The sequence below is a fragment of the Homo sapiens genome, chromosome 20 (genome assembly GCF_000001405.40).
Source record: "Homo sapiens chromosome 20, GRCh38.p14 Primary Assembly".
Lineage (NCBI taxonomy): Eukaryota > Metazoa > Chordata > Mammalia > Primates > Hominidae > Homo > Homo sapiens.
Genome location: NC_000020.11, coordinates 33,862,367 through 33,883,202, shown reverse-complemented (window position 1 = coordinate 33,883,202; position 20,836 = coordinate 33,862,367). Strand labels below are relative to the sequence as shown.

General features: G+C 52.1%; 4 annotated features.

Annotated features, from left to right (window-relative positions):
* Positions 11,941–12,441: an enhancer, noted in NCBI's record as "H3K4me1 hESC enhancer chr20:32458568-32459068 (GRCh37/hg19 assembly coordinates)". NCBI's record gives its function as "activates a minimal SCP1, AML or CMV promoter by ChIP-STARR-seq in naive H9 embryonic stem cells {active_cell/tissue: H9 hESC(naive)}" and the evidence as "EXISTENCE:reporter gene assay evidence [ECO:0000049][PMID:30033119]".
* Positions 19,904–19,983: an enhancer, noted in NCBI's record as "active region_17750". NCBI's record gives its function as "activates an Ori minimal core promoter by ATAC-STARR-seq in GM12878 lymphoblastoid cells {active_cell/tissue: GM12878}" and the evidence as "EXISTENCE:reporter gene assay evidence [ECO:0000049][PMID:35858748]".
* Positions 20,268–20,431: a silencer, noted in NCBI's record as "fragment chr20:32450578-32450741 (GRCh37/hg19 assembly coordinates)". NCBI's record gives its function as "represses an EF-1alpha promoter that drives an FKBP-Casp9 reporter gene in an ReSE screen in K562 erythroleukemia cells {active_cell/tissue: K562}" and the evidence as "EXISTENCE:reporter gene assay evidence [ECO:0000049][PMID:32094911]".
* Positions 20,434–20,483: a silencer, noted in NCBI's record as "silent region_12826". NCBI's record gives its function as "represses an Ori minimal core promoter by ATAC-STARR-seq in GM12878 lymphoblastoid cells {active_cell/tissue: GM12878}" and the evidence as "EXISTENCE:reporter gene assay evidence [ECO:0000049][PMID:35858748]".

The following is a 20,836-nucleotide window of genomic DNA, read 5'->3' as shown; positions in this document are numbered from 1 at the left end:
AGAAACACCTGGCGACTAACCTAGACTGAACCCAGGTCTAGGGAAGGGAGAAGGATCCCCCAAACTCTGAGGATGGTCTCTACACAGAGACCCTCCTGGTCAGCTGGTCCTCTGACCTCCTAAGTGTATCTGGCCCGTGTCATTGATGTCTGTCTCGTAACAGCACAGCCAAAATAAATCACTTGAGGCCGGGCACCATGGTTCATGCTTGTAACTCAGAACTTTGGGAGGCCAAGGGAGGAAGATGGGTTAAGGCCAGGAGTTCAAGACCAGCCTGGGCAACACAGCAAGATCCCATCTTTTTTTTTTTTAAGAAAAGGATAAACCGTTTGAGCATCAGGCAGTGTCTAAGACTCATCTTTGACACGAATCAAACCAAAGGAGAGAAATCGCTCGTGGGGAAGCTGGTCACCTAGGACCACCCGAACACAACAGCTGCTTATGATTTGGGCAGTAGGGAGCCATGGAAGGATTTAAAGGTAGGGAGGAGGTGTGTGACGTGATCAGACTTGTGAGCAGCCAGTGCGGAGAGTGGTTCACAGGGGGCAGCATGGAGGAGGCAGGTGTGACCATCCAGCTAGTGCCTGGCCTCTGATCTAGGGCAGAGACAAGGAGGTGGGGTGGGGAGCAGAGCGTTGGAGGGGGAAGGGACAGTAGAAGGCAGAGCTAACGAGGCTCCACTGCCAGGCAGGGATGCTAACCAGCTCCTTCCCCTCGGAAAAGAGGTGGATGTCAAATCTTGAGCCCCGCCCAGCCACACTGGCCCCTGATAAATCCCCTCTGGCCAGTCATTACTCTTCTCACGTGCAGCCCCCTAATTGCCCAGAGATGAAGTGTCTGAGGCTGCCCTCTTGCCATGGCAGACAAATGCCTGTTTGAGCAGAAGCCGGAGGGAACAGGACAGATGGGGTCCTGTTCAGCTTCCCTGCTCCCAGATCCCGGGCCTCGCTGCTCCTGTGGGCTTTGGGAAACCAACAAGGGTTTGTGTTTAATGAGGCTGCCTGCTCATCCATCACGCAAGGCCAGTGCCTTGACGACAGCAACCACCAAAGATGAGGGCCAGGCCAGGGTCCCTGAATCAGAGCAGGGTGAGGGTGGGGCAGGCTCAGTGCAATCGAATCCAGGCTGTGTAAATCACCACACCTCTCCAGGCTGTGATTTCCTCACCAAAATGGGGATCATGTTTTATGTGGCAGACATTGCATGTTAACAACTCTACACCCACTTGCTCTACTTCTTTAGGAGGAGAATCACATTTGTTTTCAGGATGGGGAGGAAAGGTACCACTGAAAAAACTCACTCTTCCCGCTTCCCTTGGAGCAGAGGCCACTATGTGGCAAGAGATAACACATAAGGCCGGGCGCGTTGGCTTGTGGCTGTAGTTTCAACACTTTTGTAGGCAGACGCAGGAGGATCGCTTGAGCTCAGGAGTTTGAGACCAGCCTGGGCAACATAGCGTGACCTGTCTCTACAAAAAAAAAAAAAAAAATTTCCGGGTGCGGTGGCTCATGCCTGTAATCTCAGCACTTTGGGAGGCCGAGGTCAGTAGATCACCTGAGGTCGGGAGTTCAAGACCAGCCTGACCAACATGGTGAAACCCTGTCTTTACTAAAAATACAAAATTAGCCGGGCGTGGTGGCACATACCTGTAATCCCAGCTACTCGGGAGGCTGAGGCAGGAGAATCGCTTGAACCCAAGAGGCAGAGGTTGCAGCAAGCTGAGATTTCACCATTGCACTCCAGCCTGGACAACAAGAGTGAAACTGTCTCAAAAAAAAAAAAAAAATTAAGTTAGCCAGGTGTGGTGGCACACACCTGTAGTCCCAGCTACTCAGGAGGCCGAGGTAGGAGGTTCACTTGAGCCTGGGAGGTTGAGGTTGCAGTGAGCTGTAATCACACCACTGCACTCCAGCCTGGGTGATGGAGTGAGACCCTGTCTCAAAACAAAGAAGCAAACAAAAGACAGAAGACATGGGGCATTTGGAGATGAGATGCCTGGAAGTGCAACAAGAGGGTTAAAGCCGCACCCCAAGGGTGCTAAAATGTGAAGATCAAAGGTGTCCAAGTCCCTGGCAGCTTCATGGAGCCACTAAGTCACCTGGGGCTGCCATATCCAGACTTCTGAATGGCACTGGGGTTTGAATGCCTCTGTGAGGACGAAAGACAAGGCTCCTGGCCCTGTGAGAGCCCTCCAGCTGAAACTAGGCTCCCTACATCAGGAAAAAGCTGGAAGTCAGCTGTTTCTTCTTGGGACTGGAAAAACTGCCCAATAACCTTGGGCTGCAGCCTAGAAGTGGGTGTCTTGCCCTGGGCCATAGAAAAAAAAAAGTCACCCAAGATAAACTGAAAAAACAAACAAAGCAAAAAGAAAGAGAGAAACTCAATAGGTGGGTTTGACAGTAGTCTGTCATATTCATTTACTGGCCCTGTCATAATAAAACAGTAGAGTGGCTTAAGCAACAGCAATCTATTAACTTTCAGTTCTGGAGGCTAGAAGTCCCAGATCAGGGTGCTGGTGTTTGGTTTTATCGGAGGTCTTGCTCTTTGGCTTGCAGACGGCCACCTCCTTGCTGTGTCCTCACATGGTCTCCCTTGCGCATGCTCATCCTTCCTGCCCCTTGGTGCATCCACATTTCCTCTTATAGGGACACCAGTCAGATTGCATTAGGGGCCACCCTGATAGCCTCATTTTAACTTAGTCACCTCTTCAAAGACCCTATCTCCAATATAATCACACTCAGAAGTATTGGGGGCTATAGAACACCTATCAGAGGTGTTCGCCCAGAATACAGCACAGAGAGAGATAAAGAAATGTGAAACATAAAGGGGAAGTTAAGATGGAGGATGAAATGAAATGATCCATTATATATCTAATAGGATGTACAACAGGAATAGGAATTCCAATAAGAGACAGTAAAGAGGATGTGGGAAAAGCAATAAAGGAAACTATAATAGGGGCCAGGCATGGCCCAGAACTTTGGGAGGCTGAGGCAGGCAGATCACTTGAGGTTAGGAGTTCGAGACCAGCCTGGCCAACATGATGAAACCCTGTCTTTACTAAAAAATACAAAAATTAGCCAGGTATGGTGGCGGGCACCTGTAATCCCCGCTACTCAGGAGGCTGAGACAGGAGGCGGAGGTTGCAGAGAGCTGAGATCACACCACTGCATTCCAACCTGGGTGACAGAGTGAGACTCTGTCTCAAAAAAATAAAATAAAATAAAATAAAATATAGTAAAATATAATATATAAGAATTTTTCAAATTGAAGAAAGCACTGTCTTCACAGAGAAAAGCCATAGTTCAGAGTGGGATAAAAATAAATCTAGGCTGAGTGCAGTGGCTCAAACATGTAATCTCAGCACTTTGGGAGGCCAAGGCAAGAGGATCACTTGAGTCCAGGAGTTCAAGACCAGCCTGGACAATATAGGGAGACTCTGTCTCTACAAATAATTTTAAAATTAGCTGGGTGTGGTGGCATGTGCCTGTGGTCCCAGCTACTTGGGAGGCTGAGGCAGGAGGATTACCCGAGTTCAGGAGGTCAAGGCTGCAGTGAACTATGATTATGCCACTGCGATCCAGTCTGGGTGACAGAGCCAGATCTTGTCTCAAAAATAAACAAATAAATAAAATCTACGCTTAGGCATGTCTAATTGCACTTGGACAACTTTAAGGGTAAAGAGAAAACTTTTGAAGCTGCCAGAAGGGTGGGAAAGACAGATTCCTTTCAAAGAAACAATTAGACTAAAAAATAGACTTCTAATTAGCAACAATAGGAGCCAGAAAGGAGTAGACTAATATCTCCAAACACAGTGAAAAAATACTTGTCAGCCTAGAATTCTATACCTAGCTAAACTGTCACTGAAGAGTGAGATCAAAACATATTTCCAGGTTGGGCGTGGTGGCTCATGCCTGTAATCCCAGCACTTTGGGAGGCTGAGGTGGGTGGATCACTTGAGGCCAGAAGTTCAAGACCAGCCTGGCCAACAAGTCGAGACCCTGTCTCTGCTAAAAATACAAAAATTAGCTGGGTGTGGTGGTGCACACCTATAGTCCCAGCTACTCAGGAGGCTGAGGCATGAAAATAGCTTGAACCCAGTGGGTGGAGGTTGTGCCACTGCCCTCCAGCCTGGACAATAGAGCAAGACTCTGTCTCAAAAAAAAAAAAAAAAATATATATATATATATATATTTCCAGATATACATGATTTAGAGTTTACTACCCACAGGCCCTCACCAAAAGATTAAAGGATGTGCTTCAACAAGAAGGAAAATGATTAAAGAGATAGAGAAGTGAATCCCATCTTGGTCATGTTATTTGAGTCTTTGATCAAGTTCAACCTGAAGATACTCCTGAACTTTTCAGTTTCAGGTGCCCACAAAGTCCCAATTCATTGAGGGACGGGGAATGAGTTATAATGTTCTCTCATTTTCAACCAAAAGAGCCCTGATTGACACCACAGCTTTCCCATAGATGCTAACTAAATCAGTAAGATCGGTTCCCCCAGCTTGTTGTTTGAAAGAGGTAAATAAATATGTGTTAAATAAATGAAACATGGTCCCTGTCTTTGTGAATCATGGAATCTCATAACTATTGATCAGGAGAGTTCTGAAGACATTGAATCTTGGACTCTGTCCCCACCTGTGACATCCTAGTTTATCTGGTCTTTGGACCAAGACCCAGCCCATCTAATGAGATTTCCTTCCTGTTTGTAATCCCCACACCACCACCAGCACCACCACCACCACCATCACACACACACACACACACACACACACACACACACACACACTCCTATTAAGCTCACTGTCCCTCCGGGGCCTGTGCCCACGACACCCTCACAACCCCTTCTCTGTTCCCTAGCGCCACCTTGAACACTTGCCAGGATACGGCTCCCAGCACTGCAGTGTGGTTGGTGAGCAACAGCAGAACACCCACGTGGCTTTTATTCCTCGAGCATCCCACTGACATGTGCCATGTAGTGTCAGATTTGGGGGTGACTTTAGGCAGGTGGAAGCAGACTGGGAAAATGAGGTGGCTGAACTTGATCTCTCCAAGGGTCTTACAGCCACAGTGAAGGGAGCCATCAAAGAGCTGGGTCTCCCAGTTCCCCACCTCAAATAGAGTCGGTCCCTCATGGTTTCTCTTATATATCTGGCTTTGATGTAAGATATTCCTTGGAGAAAGGGCTCTGTAACAAGTTTTGTTTTTGTTTTTGTTTTTTTGAGACACAGTCTCACTCTGTCACCCAGGCTGGAGTGCAGTGGTGCAATCATGGCTCACTGCAGCCTCGACCTCCCAGGCTCAAGTGATCATCAGACCTCAGCCTCCTGAGTAGCTGGGACTACAGGCACGCACCACCATACTAAGCTAATGTTATTTATTTATTTTTTTTTGAAGAGACAGGGTTTCACCATGTTGCCCAGACTGGTCTCAAATTCCTTAGCTCAAACAATCCGCCCACCTTAGCCTCCCAAAACTCTGGGATTACAGGCATAAGTCATGGTGCCTGGCCTATAACAAGTTTTAAAGATAAATTTGGAGCTGGCTATGGTGGCACACAACTGTAGTCCCAGCTACTTGGGAGGCTGAGGCAGGAGGATTATTTGAGAACAGGAGTTCCAGGCTGCAGTGAGCTATGATCAAACCACTGTGCTCCAGCCTGGTCAACAAGCAAGACCCCATCTCTCTTTTTTTTTTTTTTTAGACGGAATTTTGCTCTGTCCCCCAGGCTGGAGTGCAGTGATGCAAACTCGGCTCACTGCAAGCTCCACCTCCCGGGTTCACGCCATTCTCCTGCCTCAGCCTCCCAAGTAGCTGGGACTACAAGGCGCCCGCCACCATGCCCGGCTAATGTTTGTATTTTTAGTAGAGACGGGGTTTCACCGTGTTGGCCAGGATGGTCTCGATCTCCTGACCTTGTGATTCACCCACCTCGGCCTCCCGAAGTGCTGGGATTACAGGCGTGAGCCACCGCGCCAGGCTGCGAGACCCCAACTCTTAAAAAAAAAAAAAAGTTTTGAAAACACCCAGAGTAGATGAAATCTTAAGATCCCATGCAATTCAGTGCTCCACGATCCCTCTGAAAGTGTAGAGACCAGAGAGTGATGGCAGAGACCTTGGGCATCCCAGAGGCCCACCGCTCCCCGTGGAAGACATCTTAGGAAGATGTCTTCTGCCCGCCCTGCTCCAGACAGATTCACCCCGCACCTTTGCAAGGGAAGAAGTCAGTGTAGCGTCCCGCTGCCCTCCTCACTGGGCTCCATGGGAGTATTCGGGCCCAGGCTTGGTGAGATGACCTGGAATAGCTCATCGTGCCTGGGAGCCCCCATTTCCCCTAATGGGCTCATCAGCACAGGCTCCAGCACCATGTATCCTGTTGGCTGAATCAGGCAGTCAGTTTCCAGAGCCCTGAGCTCAGCAGTGGGTGGGGGCTGCGAATTAGGACTCTAACCCAGAGGAGGTTGATGGACTCGTCGCCGTTTGTAAGCCGGAGCACAGGGTGTTTGGTCCGTCCAGCGCCCCCACAACTGCCACTCTTGCGGTCAGACAGACGTCTTCTGGGAGGCAAGTCCAGTTGGCCCCTCGGTGAGAGCGCAGGAGAAGCAGGCAGGCCCGTCCCTGGGAGACCGCCAGAGAAAGCCTGCAGGCATTGAAAGTCCCCAACTCGGCCGGGCGCGGTGGCTCACTGCACCCGCGGTGGTGATCCCAGCACTTTGGGAGGCCGAGGCAGGCGGATCACGAGGTCAGGAGATCAAAACCATCCTGGCCAACACGGTGAAACCCCGTCTCTAATTAAAAAAAGTACAAAAAATTAGCCAGGCGTGGTGGCGGGCGCCTGCAGTCCCAGCTACTAGGGAGGCTGAGGCAGAAGAATGGCCTGAACCCGGGAGGCGGAGCTTGCAGTGAGCCAATATCGCGCCACTGCACTCCAGCTTGGGCAACAGAGTGAGACTCTGTCTCAAAAAAAAGAAAAAAAGAAGTCCCCACCTCAAAGGCATAGCCCAAGGGCAAGTGGGCAGGGCCCTGGCAGTGTCCACCCAGTGGTGCACAAATGAGGTGGTGGCCTCCAGGACAAGAGGAAACAGGGCCTCCCACTGTCAGGATCCCCTCTCCTTCTCTTCCTTCTTTCCTCTGTGTATTAGTGAGGGTTCTCCAGAGAAACAAAATCAATAGAAGACACGGAAAGGAGACAGCTAGATTTCTCTTAAGGAATTGGCTCACACAGTTGTGGGGGTTTGCAAGTCTGAAATTGGAAGGGCAGGCCCCGGGCTGGAAACTCACGCAGGATTTTATTCTGCAATCTTGAGGCAGAATTTCTTCTCTGGGGAAGCTGATTTGCTCTTGAGGCCTTCAACTGATTGGATGAGGCCCACCTACATTACCAGGGATGATCTCCTTTACTTTGAGTCAATTGATTGTAGATGTTAAGCACAGCTACAGAACACCTGCACAGCAACACCGAGATTTGCATTTAATTGAGTTATAGCCTCGCCAGGCTGATGAGATTTGAGCCTCACACTCTGCTTCTCTTCATGTCCCTAGCCCTCCTGTCTTTGCACAGAAAGGCTTCTCCATGGGGTGAGCGTGGGGGGCATGGTGACCAGTAGCTCTGGGCTCCTGTCTTTCTGACTACATGACCAGAGAGGAAGGGATTCCTCTTCCCTGTCTCCAGTTTAAAAATTCCCAGCAAGGATGGACCCAGGAGTCTGGGTATGAAATGAGATGATGGCATCGTCTGGATCCTAAAGCGGGCGAGGGGGTAGTGGGGAGCGGCCAGGGACGATTCCCCCAGAAGAGAGGAGGAACACACACTCTTGAAAGGAGGAAGTGCCAGTGGCGAAGCAGGACCTGCCCCCACAGGTCTCCTCCTGCAGGCAGGTGAGGCTGCGCCCAGCCTTCCCCTAAATCTCTGCCTGCACCTGCCAGCCTAGACCCAGCTCCTCCCGGCCCCACCACAACCCCATCAAGGAACATGAAGAAGCCTGAAGCCTTCTCACTTCCTTTTTTTTTTGTAGACAGGGTCTCACTCTGTCACCCAGGCTGTAGTGCAGTGGCACAATTATAACTCACTGCAGCCTTGACTCCTGGGCTCAAGCAATCCTCCCACCTCAGCCTCCCAAGTTGTTAGGACTACAGGGGTGCACTACCATGCCCAGTTAATTATTTTTTTATTTTGTAGGCCAGGCACAGTGGCTCACACCTGTAATTCCAGCCCTTTGGGAGGGCTAGGTGGGTGGATCAACCTGAGCTCAGGAGTTCAAGATCAGCCTGGGCAACATGGCGAAACCCCATCTCTACAAAAAATAGAAAAAATTAGCCAGATGTGGTGGTGCATACCTGTGGTCCCTGCTACTTGAGAGGCTGAGGTGGGAGGATCACTTGAGCCTGGGAGGTGGAGATTGCAGTGAGCTGAGATCATGTCACTGCACTCCAGCCTGGATGACAGAGTGAGGCCCTGTCTCAAAAAAAAAAAAAAAAAAATTAGAGTAGGATCTCACTATGTTGCCCAGGCTGGTCTATGAACTCCTAGCCTCAAGTGATCCTCCTGTCTCAGCCTCCCAGAGCACTGGAATTATAGGCATAAGTCACCATGCCCGGCATTTTCCCGCCTCTTAAACACATTCCCCCATCATCGTTGTTTCCAGGGTATCTACTATGGCCTAGATGCTTGACACCCATTTCTCCTTTAATCAATGTCTCCTTAGTCAACAACCCTGGGAGCTTTTACAGAGGAGAAACCCAGAGAGGGGAAGGGACTTGCTCAAAGTCCCTCAGCTATTAAGCTGAGGATCCAAGACTTCGACTCAGAGACACAGAGGAGGAATTTCACACGTCTGTATGAAGCCAAAGCCCAGGACAGAAACTTCTCGCAGAAGCATGCTACTTCTCGCAAACAGCCTTTCTGGAAAAGCAATGAAGATTCGGGGTTTTTTATGATTTGGGCCAGACCTTGGCCCCCCTGGTTGGCTCAGAGGCGAGGCCTGGCTGTGGGGAAGGTATTTGAGAGTGAAGGTGTTTGTGTCCTTCCTCTGCCACGTCCTGGGCTTCCAGCTGCCAGCCACAGCTCTGACAGCAGACTTGCCTAAACCCCCTCATCTAATTAAAAAATAAAATCAAAGAAAGAAAACTTTTTATTACACTCTTCTAATGGTAGAAAATAGTTTCAGGCATAAAAAGGCGCTCAGCTGGCTACTTCCCAGGCATCAAAAATTAACAGCCACTACATTTTATTCCGAGGAATTAATGGAAAATTTTACATGGTGGTGTAAAATGCAGGGGACAAGATGAAGGACATGACTCTTCGTTGAACAGCTCAGTCCCTCGCTTGCAGCAAAGACACTGCTTTGGCCGCCTGCTCTGAGCAGGAACCATGGGTTCACAGGGGGCCAAGTGTGTTATGTGGGGGATGGAGGGGAGAGGTGGGGGGAATTGGCTGCAGCCTCTAGGGAAGCTTCTGAACCTCCCATCTGCACACACCTCTGAACCCTGGCCCCGTCAAGTTGTCATCTTTCCTGCAAGATCCCTTCACCCTGAATGATTGCTGATGGTCAAAACTTCAGACTCAGGGGCAGTAGGCCTGGGTTCTAGCCCTGGTTATGCCTCAGTCTCTCCATCTGTCAAATGGTCACTAGAACTCCAGGATCCTGAATCTCTGAATCCTATGTAAAATAAACTTGGTCTGTATCTTCTCCTAAAAATAGGAGCAAGAGCCTGGGCTTTGAAGCTGGGCAGACCTGGGTTTGAATCCAAGCTCGGCCACTCATCAGTTCCATGGCCTTAGGAGAGTCACCTCTCTGATCCTCAGTCGCCAACTCTGTAAAATGAGGACAATAGGACACCCCTCTGAGGAGGGCTGTGTGATGTAGATAACAGTTTGTCCCACCTTCTCTAGCTCCAGGGGCCCTCAAGTGAACTCCCAGCAACACAGGCCCAAGCTCCTTTTCTCCTTTTCTTGTTTCCACAAAAGAGTTTATCCTGAAACATGCCAGTGAGCAGTGAACACTACAGATGCCTACTGGGGCTAGTGGAGGGGAGGGTTTACATCACTCACTTGACAGCAAACCCCTGACAAGCCCTTTGGACCATGCTGGAAAGAGAAATCAGTTACTCCCTGGGGAGTGGGATGGAGTGGGCAGGGAGCAGAGGGAACTTTTCAGAACATAATGTGAGCATATTTGGGAAAGGCAATGTGCAATTCACTGTTATGTCTGTGCTTTTCCTTTTTTTTCTTTTTTTTTTTTTTGAGACGGAGTCTCGCTCTGTCGCCCAGGCTGGAGTGCAGTGGCATGATCTCGGCTCACTGCAAACTCCGCTTCCCAGGTTCACGCCATTCTCCTGCCCAGCCTCCCGATTAGCTGGGACTACAGGCGCCCCCCACCACGCCCGGCTAATTTTTTGTATTTTTAGTAGAGATGCAGTTTCAGCGTGTTAGCCAAGATGGTCTCGATCTCCTCACCTCGTGATCTGCCTGACTCGGCCTCCCAAAGTGCTGGGATTACAGGCGTGAGCCACCCCGCCCGGCCATCTGTGCTTTTTCTTTAAAATGTTCCTGAATCCAAATTTTAAGTTTCTAAATATATTTATTTTTAAATAATTATTTACATGTTTAATCATATTGGCAATTAAGTTATGCAAGGAGCTGTAAGCTCAGGGTGAAGTCCCCCTCCTCCTCGGCTTCTGTCCACTCCACGGCCTCAGGCGCCCCCTTGCCAGCTGTGTCCTTGCTCCTTCTCCAGCCTGGACCTTTCTCCAGACCACAGGGCCTCCTGGGCATCTCCCCCAATGCCCCACGTCCCACTCGGAGGGTCCAACATTGAGCATAGTGCTCCCCACCCCCACCCCCAACTCCTCCTCTGTGTCTCCACCAGCCACCCAGTCGTGAGCCAGGGTACTGGGCGCCATCCCCGCCACCCCCCTACTCCAATAACCACCCCCATGGATTCCACCTCTAGGACCTCAGTTGAGTCTGTCACCTACTCTCCACATCTGTCGCGCCAACCCTAGTTACCATCTCTTGGCTTACCGCCCCATGCCTGGAGCTTGGGCTCAGCCGGCAGCCTCACTGTTTGAGAGCCCCGCACGCCAGGCTATGTCCTGCTGCGGTACCTCTGCTCACACCACGCCCTCTCCCTGGCCTGCCCTTCCCTCTCTTTATTTCTCCACCTCGTGTGCCCTACCTCATCTCAACCTCACACTTAACTCATTTCTAGACACTCTGTACATCACCTTCTAGCCTGGTTCAAGCAATCAACTGCCTTCGAAAACACGTGATGAGCACCTGATGTCTGCTGGGGACACAGCGCTGAGTCCCTGCCCTCAGGGAGTGCCCAGTCTAATGAAAAAGACAGACACAGACAACTAAAATCCTGTTTTGATGATGCCGGGGTGAAGGGTGCTTACAGGACTGGATAGAAGAACCCCCGACACAGCTGGGGGATCAAGAACAGCTTCCTGGGGGAGGTGGGGTTTCGGTCAGGCCTCATAGGCGGAGGACGTATTCAGCCCACACAGTTGGCAGAGGGCACAGCATTGGTAAAGGCCTGGGGTCACCTAAACAGCCTCAAGAAATCTCCTCCCGGAGGCTCCTTTGCCATAAACCTAGGCTGGGAGCATTTCCAATTCCTTGGAGCACTGCCCAGAGGAAAACTCTCTATGAGGATGAAGATTTATTTATTTGGTTGTAAACTGAAAGCCAGACCAACGCAGGGCATAAAGAGGAGGGACGATAAAGAGCTGGCAAAGGATGGCGCCCTGCAGCCCGGGGACCCTGAGCCCGCTCTCCCCTCTGCCGAGGACAGCGCCCTGCAACCTGGGGACCCTGAGCCGGCCCTCCCCTCTGCCGAGGACAGTATCCTGCAGCCGGGGGACCCTGAGCCGACCTTCCCCTCAGCTCAGTGCTCCTCCAACAAAGGTCCCGTCACAAACACGTAGCAAGCGCCTGCTGTTTACCAGCCCTGTGCCAGGCGCCGGGGATATAGCAGCGAACGAGACAAAGCCCCTGCTATCAACCAGAGATGGACGTGGACCTGGCAGTGACAGGCCAGGGCTGTGCTGAGGCAGCAGGAACCCTGGGGCCTCGAGAACCCAGAGGCAGCCCCTGGCCTGGCCTGGCAGGTGTAGAGGAGCAAGAGAGGGTAGACAGAGACAGCGTCCAGGAGCCAAGGCCAAGTGAGGGAAGAGGGTGTGCAGGATGCCCCCCAGCTGTGCCCTGGGGCCTCTGTGTCCTCAGGGGCCCTGACATGAGACCACCACCATGGCCCTGCTTCTCCCACCCCTCAACTCGCACCCCACGCAGCCACCCCAGACCTCCTGCTGCACCCCCGTCTTTTTTTTTTTTTTTTTTTTGAGACAGAGTCTCGCTTTGTCACCCAGGCTGGAGTGTAGTGGCGCCATCTCAGCTCACTGCAACCTCTGCCTCCCGGGTTCAAGTGATTCTCTTGCCTCAGCCTCCCAAGTAGCTGGGATTACAGGCTCTTGCCACCATGCCAAGCTAGTTTTTGTATTTTCAGTAGAGACGGGATTTTACCCTGTTGGCCAGTCTGGCCTCGAATGCCTGACCTCAGGTGATTGGCCCACCTCAGCCTCCCAAAGTGCTGGGATTACAGGCGTGAGGCACCACACCCAGCCTCCTGCTTCCCCTTAAGTCCTTGCCCTGGCAAACAGTCCCAGCCAGCCTTGTTCTCTGGGGTCGACTTGGCCACAGCCTCCTCCATGCATCCCCTCTCTGCCCACCAATACCTAGTCCAATCTCACGGAGGTCCCAGGGCAGAGGCTGGGCCACTGTCTAAGCAGACACAGACCTTCTAATGTGGCCCGAGATGCCTGTCTGCCCATCTAGTGGACGCCTCCCCATCTCTGCAAGGGGTCCCTTTAGAGATCCCCTCTCCTCTCCCACAGGGAGGGGACAATAACTGACCCCCTCCAAGGGAGGGGACAATAACTGACCCCCTCCAAGGGATGACAACTTATGATCCAATAATTCCCCTCTCTCCATCTCTTGTCAGTTTCCTGCTTATGGAGCAGAATGAGGTGAGGAGCCAGGGGAGCCAGGGGACGCTGGGGATAACCAAACTGGCTGGACTGTATAAGCCCAGAAGGGTGTGTCTGGCCTCAGTTTTAACTGTGCTCTTTAGAATGTGGGGGACTTGGCCAAGTGCGGTGGCTCACCCCTATAATCCCAGCACTTTAGGAGGCAGGTAAATCACTTGAGGTCAGGAGTTCGAGACCAGCCTGGCCAACATGGTGAAACCCTGCGGCTACTAAAAAAAAAAAAAAAAAAAAAAAAAAATTAGCCAGGCATGGTGGCACACACCTGTAATCCCAGCTACTCGGGAGGCTGAGGCAGGAGAATCACTTGAATCTGGGAGACGGAGGTTGCAGTGAGCCGAGATGGTGCCACTGCACTCCAGCCTGAATGACAGAGCGAGACTCTGTCTCAAAAATAAAATAAAAAAATAACGTGGGGTACTTGATGCCTTTGTCTGTAGCTTGGCCTCAGGCACCATTTCTGGGGCAACAGAAAACTTCATTCCATGCCTCATCCTGGTATGCATGCAAAAATGTTCATTGCCCCATTATCTGCAACCATGAAAAACTGGAAACGACCCTCAGGCCTAACAGTAGGGGAGGGTTATAAACTTTGCAAGAGCAGGAACAACATCTGCCTTGTTCATTGTTAGGTCTGCAGTGCCCAGCGTGGTGCCCTGCACACAGTAGGTGCTCAGGAAACATCTGTGGAAGGAAGAGAATAAAGGAGGGAGGAAGGAAAGGAGGGGGAAAAAAGGAAGAAGAAACTTTGAAAGTTCTTCCGGAATCCCAGAAAGCAAACCCTTCCCTGCTTCCGCCGCACTGGAGAAGATGCACCTTTTGGGGGGCTGTGACTGTTCATTTTTAAAACTTCCATCCAATGCCCCCAAAACTTAATTCCATTTTGAGTGTTTTTCTTTTTTCATTTTCATCCTCCACTGTTTTTTTAACGCTCACTGTTGAATTTCTCGTTTGGAGAGGCTGATTGAATTGTGGCTCAGGGGACTTGAGACAGTCACTTCAGACATTTAGAGTTCCAATCACGCTGTCGCCACCCCAGTCCCCCACCCTTGGCACCAGGGAAACTATCTCTTATGAGAGCTGATTATCTTTACAGCCTAGAACATCACACTCTAAAACACAGGCTGTGCAAATCAGAATTCTCCGTGACTAATGTACATCCAGTGAAAATATCAAAATGCCCATTTAACAGGAGAGGGCTGATTGGAAAAGCCCACCTGATCTGCTGGTGAAGTTCCGTGGCTGATGTCATTTGAGAGTCACCGGGTCCAGGCCTGGGGAAGGCTGTGAGATCACCTGTCTGGGGGCTACTCTGTCTCATCCCTCAGGGCCCAGTCAGTGCCCACGGTCCTCCCTCCAGAGAGAGTGGCAGGCAGGGGAGGCCAGCGGACGGGGAGGCAGGCACATCAAGTGAGCACCTACTGTGTGCTGGGCACTGTGCCAGGAAGGACCTCATGCAGTCTGAGAACAACCTTGCCAGGTGAGATTTATTTATCACCCTTTTGCAGAGGGAGCTTCCTATGGGATCTCAAAGGATAAAGAGGAGTTAGTCGGGGGAAGTGGAGAGGCCTGGAAAGGCATTCCATGAAGAGGAGACGTCATTGCAAAGGCAAGAGGCAATAAAATAGAACACAAGCAGTCTGGTGTTGCTGAAGCTTAAAGTGCCAGCAGGGAGAGGGAAGGACAAGGCTGGAGAGGTGGACAGGGAAGGAGCAGGGAGACACAACTAGAAGCCTGGAGAAGCTGGAGCGGGCTGTCACTGTCATTCAGGAGAGAGATGACGGAGGCTGTAGAGATGTGTGCTGGAGGCAAAGCCAGCAGGACTGGGTGACTGATTCAATGCCCACGGAGGCTGAGGGGTGGTGAGGACCCAAGGATGACACCCAGATTCCATCTCCAGAGCTGATGGCGGGGCTGCCTCTGATTCGGGGACTCAAGGGAGGCACTGATGGAGGAAAGATGCTGCTTTGCTTCGTGGACATGCTGGGTTCATTGTGCTCACAAGACATGAGCCCAGGATGACAGGGTCTGACTCATAGTGGGTCTAGACCCAAAATCGAGGCACAGATGTTGGTCATGAGCTTGACAATGATCCCTACAGCCACAGATCAGAGGGGTGCACATGGAGCGTGGGGGAGGCTGCAGATGAGCACCCTGATCATTCATCCTGCACACAAGTTCCATTTGGCCTGCAATGTTTCAAAAATCTTTGAGCCAATGTTTAAAAATCAAGCACACTCTCTTAAAAATACAAATCTCTGGTTTTTCTTAGAAACTCAGAAGACCTGGCAACAGAGGCTGGAAATTTCTCAAAGCAACCATCACCGAGGATTGGCTGTCCCTTAGACAGGGGCACGCACTCTCCTGTTCACCACAGCCCCACCCTTGTCTATTGGCTCCCAGAACCACAGGCTAAGTAGTTCTTGTTGGCGATCATGGCACTTGTAATGATTCTTTGTCCCATATCTCTATCAGATGCTGAGAAACAGAGTAGTCTCAGAGAGTCAGAGCCACGTGTTTAGGTAAAATAGGAGAGCATGTATGTTTGCAGAGGCCAAGACAATTCCTTTACCTTTGCCACACACAATGAGTCTGCATCAAAGGCCTAGCCCAGGCCAGACCTTCTTCTCTCATTCACGTGACCTACTGGTGTCCCCTGGTCTAGAAAGAGAAGAGAAGACACACGGGGAAGAGAAAGAGATCAAAGAAAGAGGATGATGTGGGAAATTGCCAGGGAAGAGACTCTCAGAGATGTCCAAGACTGCCTGGAAGTCAAATTGGGTAAGGTAGGATCTGTCCCAGGCAAGTGCACACAAGGCCACACCTGCATCCACACACAAAGAAGAATTGCACACACATGCACACAAACACGCATGTGCACACGCATGCACCAGGACATCTCTAGGCCCTCTTACACTCATGTGTACACACAGAGGCACATGTGTGTACACACAGAGAGCAGACCCAATAAAGGGTATGCACACGCATAGGCAGGCAAACTCCCACATGTAGGTGCACGGTCACATACGCTCAGGCACAAAGACATACGTGTCTGCACAGACACGGGCATACCCCTGTGCACAAAGCCACCCGAGCCTGTGCCCTCCCAGGGAACTGCGATCCCACCTCACAAAGCTCTGCCAGTTCTAAACCAGCAACTTGTAACTAAATAAATATGATAAACAACTCCCCTCCAGATGGCTCCGCACACACCCCCACTCCTCTTGCTTAGAGGGATGGCACATTCTATGCCAATAAATCCTCCTGTTTGAAAACATTTGCCTTCTTAATTGGCCCGTTTATGGGTAAAATATGTTTCTGGGTAGTGCTCTGCCAGAATGGGATGCAGAGATGCAGGGCTGGCGGTGTGTGCTGCCGCCCTGCCCTGGAGGGGTCCGGCTTGGCCCACCCCCAGAGACAAGGCCCAAAGCTGGGGGGAAGGGGTCTCAGCATGGCCAGGGCAAGCTCTTCCGTGATCTTTTCCTCCCTGTGCCTCCATGTCTCTTTCTTAGGGTTCACATTTGTTGAGCTTACTGTATGCGGCACTCTCCAAGGTCCTTAGAGGAATCCGCTGGCCCTCACTTGCCTTTCTCTGGTAGGGAGCCTGTGAGGTGAGGCTGACTGTCATAGCTCCCAAAGATATGTCAACATCCAAATCCCTGGAAGCTGTGAATATGACCTTATTTAGGAAAAGAGTCTTTGCAGATATAATTAAGTTAGGGATCTTAAGATGGTATCATCCTGGATTACCCTAGTGGGCCCTAAATCCAATGGCAAATGTCCTTATAAGAGGCAGGAGAAGACACACAGAGGAGACCTGAAGACAGAGCAGAGATCAGAGGCCACAAGCCCAGAAAGGCCAGGGATCGCTGCATCTTTTCCAGAGAAGGCAGGGCAGGGCTCTCCCCCGGAGCGTCTGCAGGAGCGTGGCCCTTCTGACACCTTGATACGAGACTGCTTGTGAGCGAATGTGTGTCTTGTTTTCAGCCACTGAGTTCATGGTCATTTGTCACAGCAACCCCAGGAGACTGATCCACCCCCTCGCGTATGGGAGGTGCCCTGACCGCACACAGCCAGGCTCAAATCCATCCTCTGCTGCCTCACGGGCTCTGCAGGAGACCCATGCTGGAGGTGGGGAAACTGAGGTCCAGAGAGGGTCTAGGCACCAGCCGGTGGCCAGGCAAGGACTAGAACGCAGCACCTTGGCCCTCCTCATGCGGCACCCACCCTTGGAGTTTTTACATCAGGAGCAGGGAGGGGAGGATGCCCAGCCCAGGACAGCCCCAAGCAGAGGGTCCCCTCAGGGTCCAACTCTGAGATGCACTGAGGAAGGACAGGAAAGAGACCTCCTTGGGGATTCCATTTTCTTTCATTCTAAGATGGGCCCAAGGTGGGTAAAGCGTGAGGACCCCTCATAGCCACCCCAGCGAGTGTTCAGATGTGCCGTGTGCCAAGACAACCTCTCCTTCACCTGCCCCCACCCGGGCAGGTGGGTACTGACATCTCTGCTTCCCTTGCTCAGGCAGGAGAGTGAGGCTGGTGAGACCCCCACATAGCTGGGTCACCAGACTGGTCAGCGACAGAGCCGGGATTCTAGCTCAGGCCCCTCTGCTTCCAATGCCACCTGCTATGCTGCCTCCCAGGTAAGAGCCAGGAGCGCGTCCCAGGGTCAGAGGATGCAGCCAGGCCACCAGAAGCAGCATGAGGTCCTGGTTCCTCTTTCTCCCCTCATCCATAAAGTACTGGTCTCTAGCTCGGCTGCCCATTGTGGGCCAGGGTGGGTCAGAAGTTTGAATCATCCGCTGTGTGGCCTTGGTCAAGTCCTCTCCCTCTGTGAGCCTCCATTTTCTCATCTGTACAATGGGGAATATGATAACAGCCATTCCTAAGAGTTGTCGTGAGGACCCATGGAAATAAAACCCAGGTAGCCCTTGGCAACATGCTGGCACCCAGCAGGCGCTCAATAAATGCTGGTGGGTGTTCAAGCGAGGTTAGAGCTCAGTGAGAGGGAGCACCTCGCCCCTGGCCACGGAAGGTCATTTGACCAAAGTGGAGGGGAGTGGGGGAGCCTGGCTGTGCTGGGGGCGGGGGGCACTGCAGCCCTGCCCCTGTGCTCACCATCAGCACCCCTCCCCAAAGGACACCAAATCCTCTGCCCATGGCTCAGCCCAGCCGCTGTTCTCAGAGCCAAGCGATGGCCGAGTGATCCGCAGGTACAGGGAGAAGGGGAGACAGGAGCATAATCCACATGTACAACCAACGTGACAGCTAAAGTTCTCAGTCCGGCTAATACGAACAGAAACCAGATCGTCAATGTCAGCCAGGAGGGGTCGGCTAAGGTTAAATGCAGGAAGAACAAAGGAAAGTGGCAATGTTGGTGCCGCCAAACCAGGTTCTGCAGAGGCAGTGACTGCATGGCCTCCGGAGTCAGGCGTCTGGTCCCTCCCATTGCAGGCAAAGCAGCGGCCCTTTTCTGTTTCATGTCGTGGGCTTCCCTGTAAGATCTCATTTGATGAAATGAGTCTGTTGCCAGAAAACATTTGGAACAGCCCTATCCTGATCCAATTGTCCTTTTCATCAATTAATTCATTTTGTTCAATTTAGCACATCCTGAGTATCTACTAAGTGCAGGCCTGCAGCGGTACTGAGCACAGGACTACACTGCTGATGGTATAAAGGGAGAGATCATACAAGGAAATGTAGTTTCTACAGGGAAGAGAGCCAGGCAGGAACACATGTGTGCGGAGCTATAAGGATATGTAACTGGGGAGCCCAGTGTCTCAGAACCAGGCCAGGCAGAGGAGCCTTGCCCTTGCTCTCAAGGACAAGCGGCAGGTGTAGGAGTGACAAGATCCAGCCCAGAGCAACCCCTGGTTGCTGAGTGGAGAATGGTTTGTAGGAGGCCAGGGAGACAGCAGGAAGGCCAGTGAGGAGGTCCTGGCAGGCAAGCCATCCTGGTGGCCTGGAACAGAGCCAGGGCAGGTTTCATGGGTGTGCAACCTGAGCAACCACACAGGGCCCTCACTCAGAAGGGCCACACACTTGGTTTAACAGTCTATTGTTGCTGTCTTGAAGTTCTGAATAATTTTTGAAAAAGGGGCCCTGTATCTTCACTTTGCACTGGGCCCCTCAGTGATGTAGCCCATCCTGACCAAAGCAAAGCCGGGATCTTTCTGAAACAAGCAGAGTCCTAAACAGACCTTCTCACTGTTGTGCTGGAGGCGGCTTCTACCAGGTCCGGGACGCTGTGGTTCAATTTCTTTTCTCCACATATTCCAGGGACCACAGGAATGGCTGAATGTTAAGAAATGTTTTGTCATGTTGGTAGCTTGAAGCTGGCCACGGTAAGAGAATTTACATGGAAATCAGCAAAGATTACAAATCAGGGTCTTTTTTTCTGAAGTCATTTCTTCATCAGCGCTTCCCCAAGTGCATCCAAGGTCCTCCTTGGCAGTATGACAAAAACATGGCTTCTGGGCACCCCTCCCCAGGCCTTGCTGGGCACTGGACAAGGTGAGGCTCAACTCCATGAGATCCCCTCAGCCCCCTGAGGCCACACTGGGCCCACAAACCTCACAGAAGGAGGAGGCAGAGAAAATTGGTGGAGTGGGGTTGGAAAAGGAAATTTGCCTAAGGTATGGGGGTGGGGAGCTCACCAGGGAAGTAGAGGGCAGTGGTTTAGGGTCTGTGCTCTTGGAGAACCAGCTCCAGGGCAACAAGTGAAGTCCCCAGCCTGGGACCCACTCCCACCCTCCCACGAGCGGGTTGCCTTCCCGCTAAGCCAGATGCAGGGCTGGGGGTGGGGGACACACAGGTATCCATGTCCACAGAGCTGTCCTGCTTTGCTGGACTCCTGGGGGCAGCAGAGGGACCTGGAACAGGAAGACCGCCTAGAAGATGAGCTAGCAGCCCACAACTGCAGCTCCCCACCCCCGCACGGCAGAGTGGGCCTCCATACATAGTGACTATTGCTGTGATTGTTGTTACAATGGCCCCACCTCCTGGCTGGCTTGGCCCCCTTCTCCTACACCCTAGACTCGCGGCCTCCAGACTCTGGCAGGAGCTAGGACACAGCCCTCTCCCTATCCATGGGGGTGTCCCTGTGGGCAGGCGGGGGACGAAGGAGTGAGGGGGTCAGTAGGGGGAGTGGGAAGCATGGAGAGAGGGGAAAGCAAGGGAGGGCAAGGGAGCAGCGCCCGATGCTAAGCAGACACCCCTCCCCGCCCCACTCCACCGCCTCCTCTAGGCCCCTCCCTGCGCCAGGCGCAGACCACCCGGGAGGAGCCCACGGTCTCCCCGTGGTTCGACGGGAGCGGGGCCCCACAGCCTGGGACATGGCGCCACCTGCAGGCCCCTGGGCGCGCTGCCGCGTCGGCCCCTCAAACCCGGGAGGAGGGATGGGGAGGACCCACACGCTCTAGGGACCCCCGCACAGCGTTTCCCAAAAGATATTCGGCGGAACCCACACCCTGGTCAGGTAGTTTGGGAGATGTCCCTTGGAGATTCCCAATGTACATTTGCCCCTGAAGTCTGGCTTGAGTGAACGCTTCCATTCCTTAAATAAACACAAGCCAGCCGGGCGCGGTGGCTCGGGCCTGTAATCCCAGCACTTTGGGAGGCCGAGGTGAGCGGATCACGACGTCAGGAGATCGAGATCGAGACCGAGGCCATCCTGGCTAACACGGTGAAACCCCGTCTCTACTAAAAAAATACAAAAAATTAGCCGGGCGTGGTGGCGGGCGCCTGTGGTCCCAGCTACTCGGGAGGCTGAGGCGGGAGAATGGAA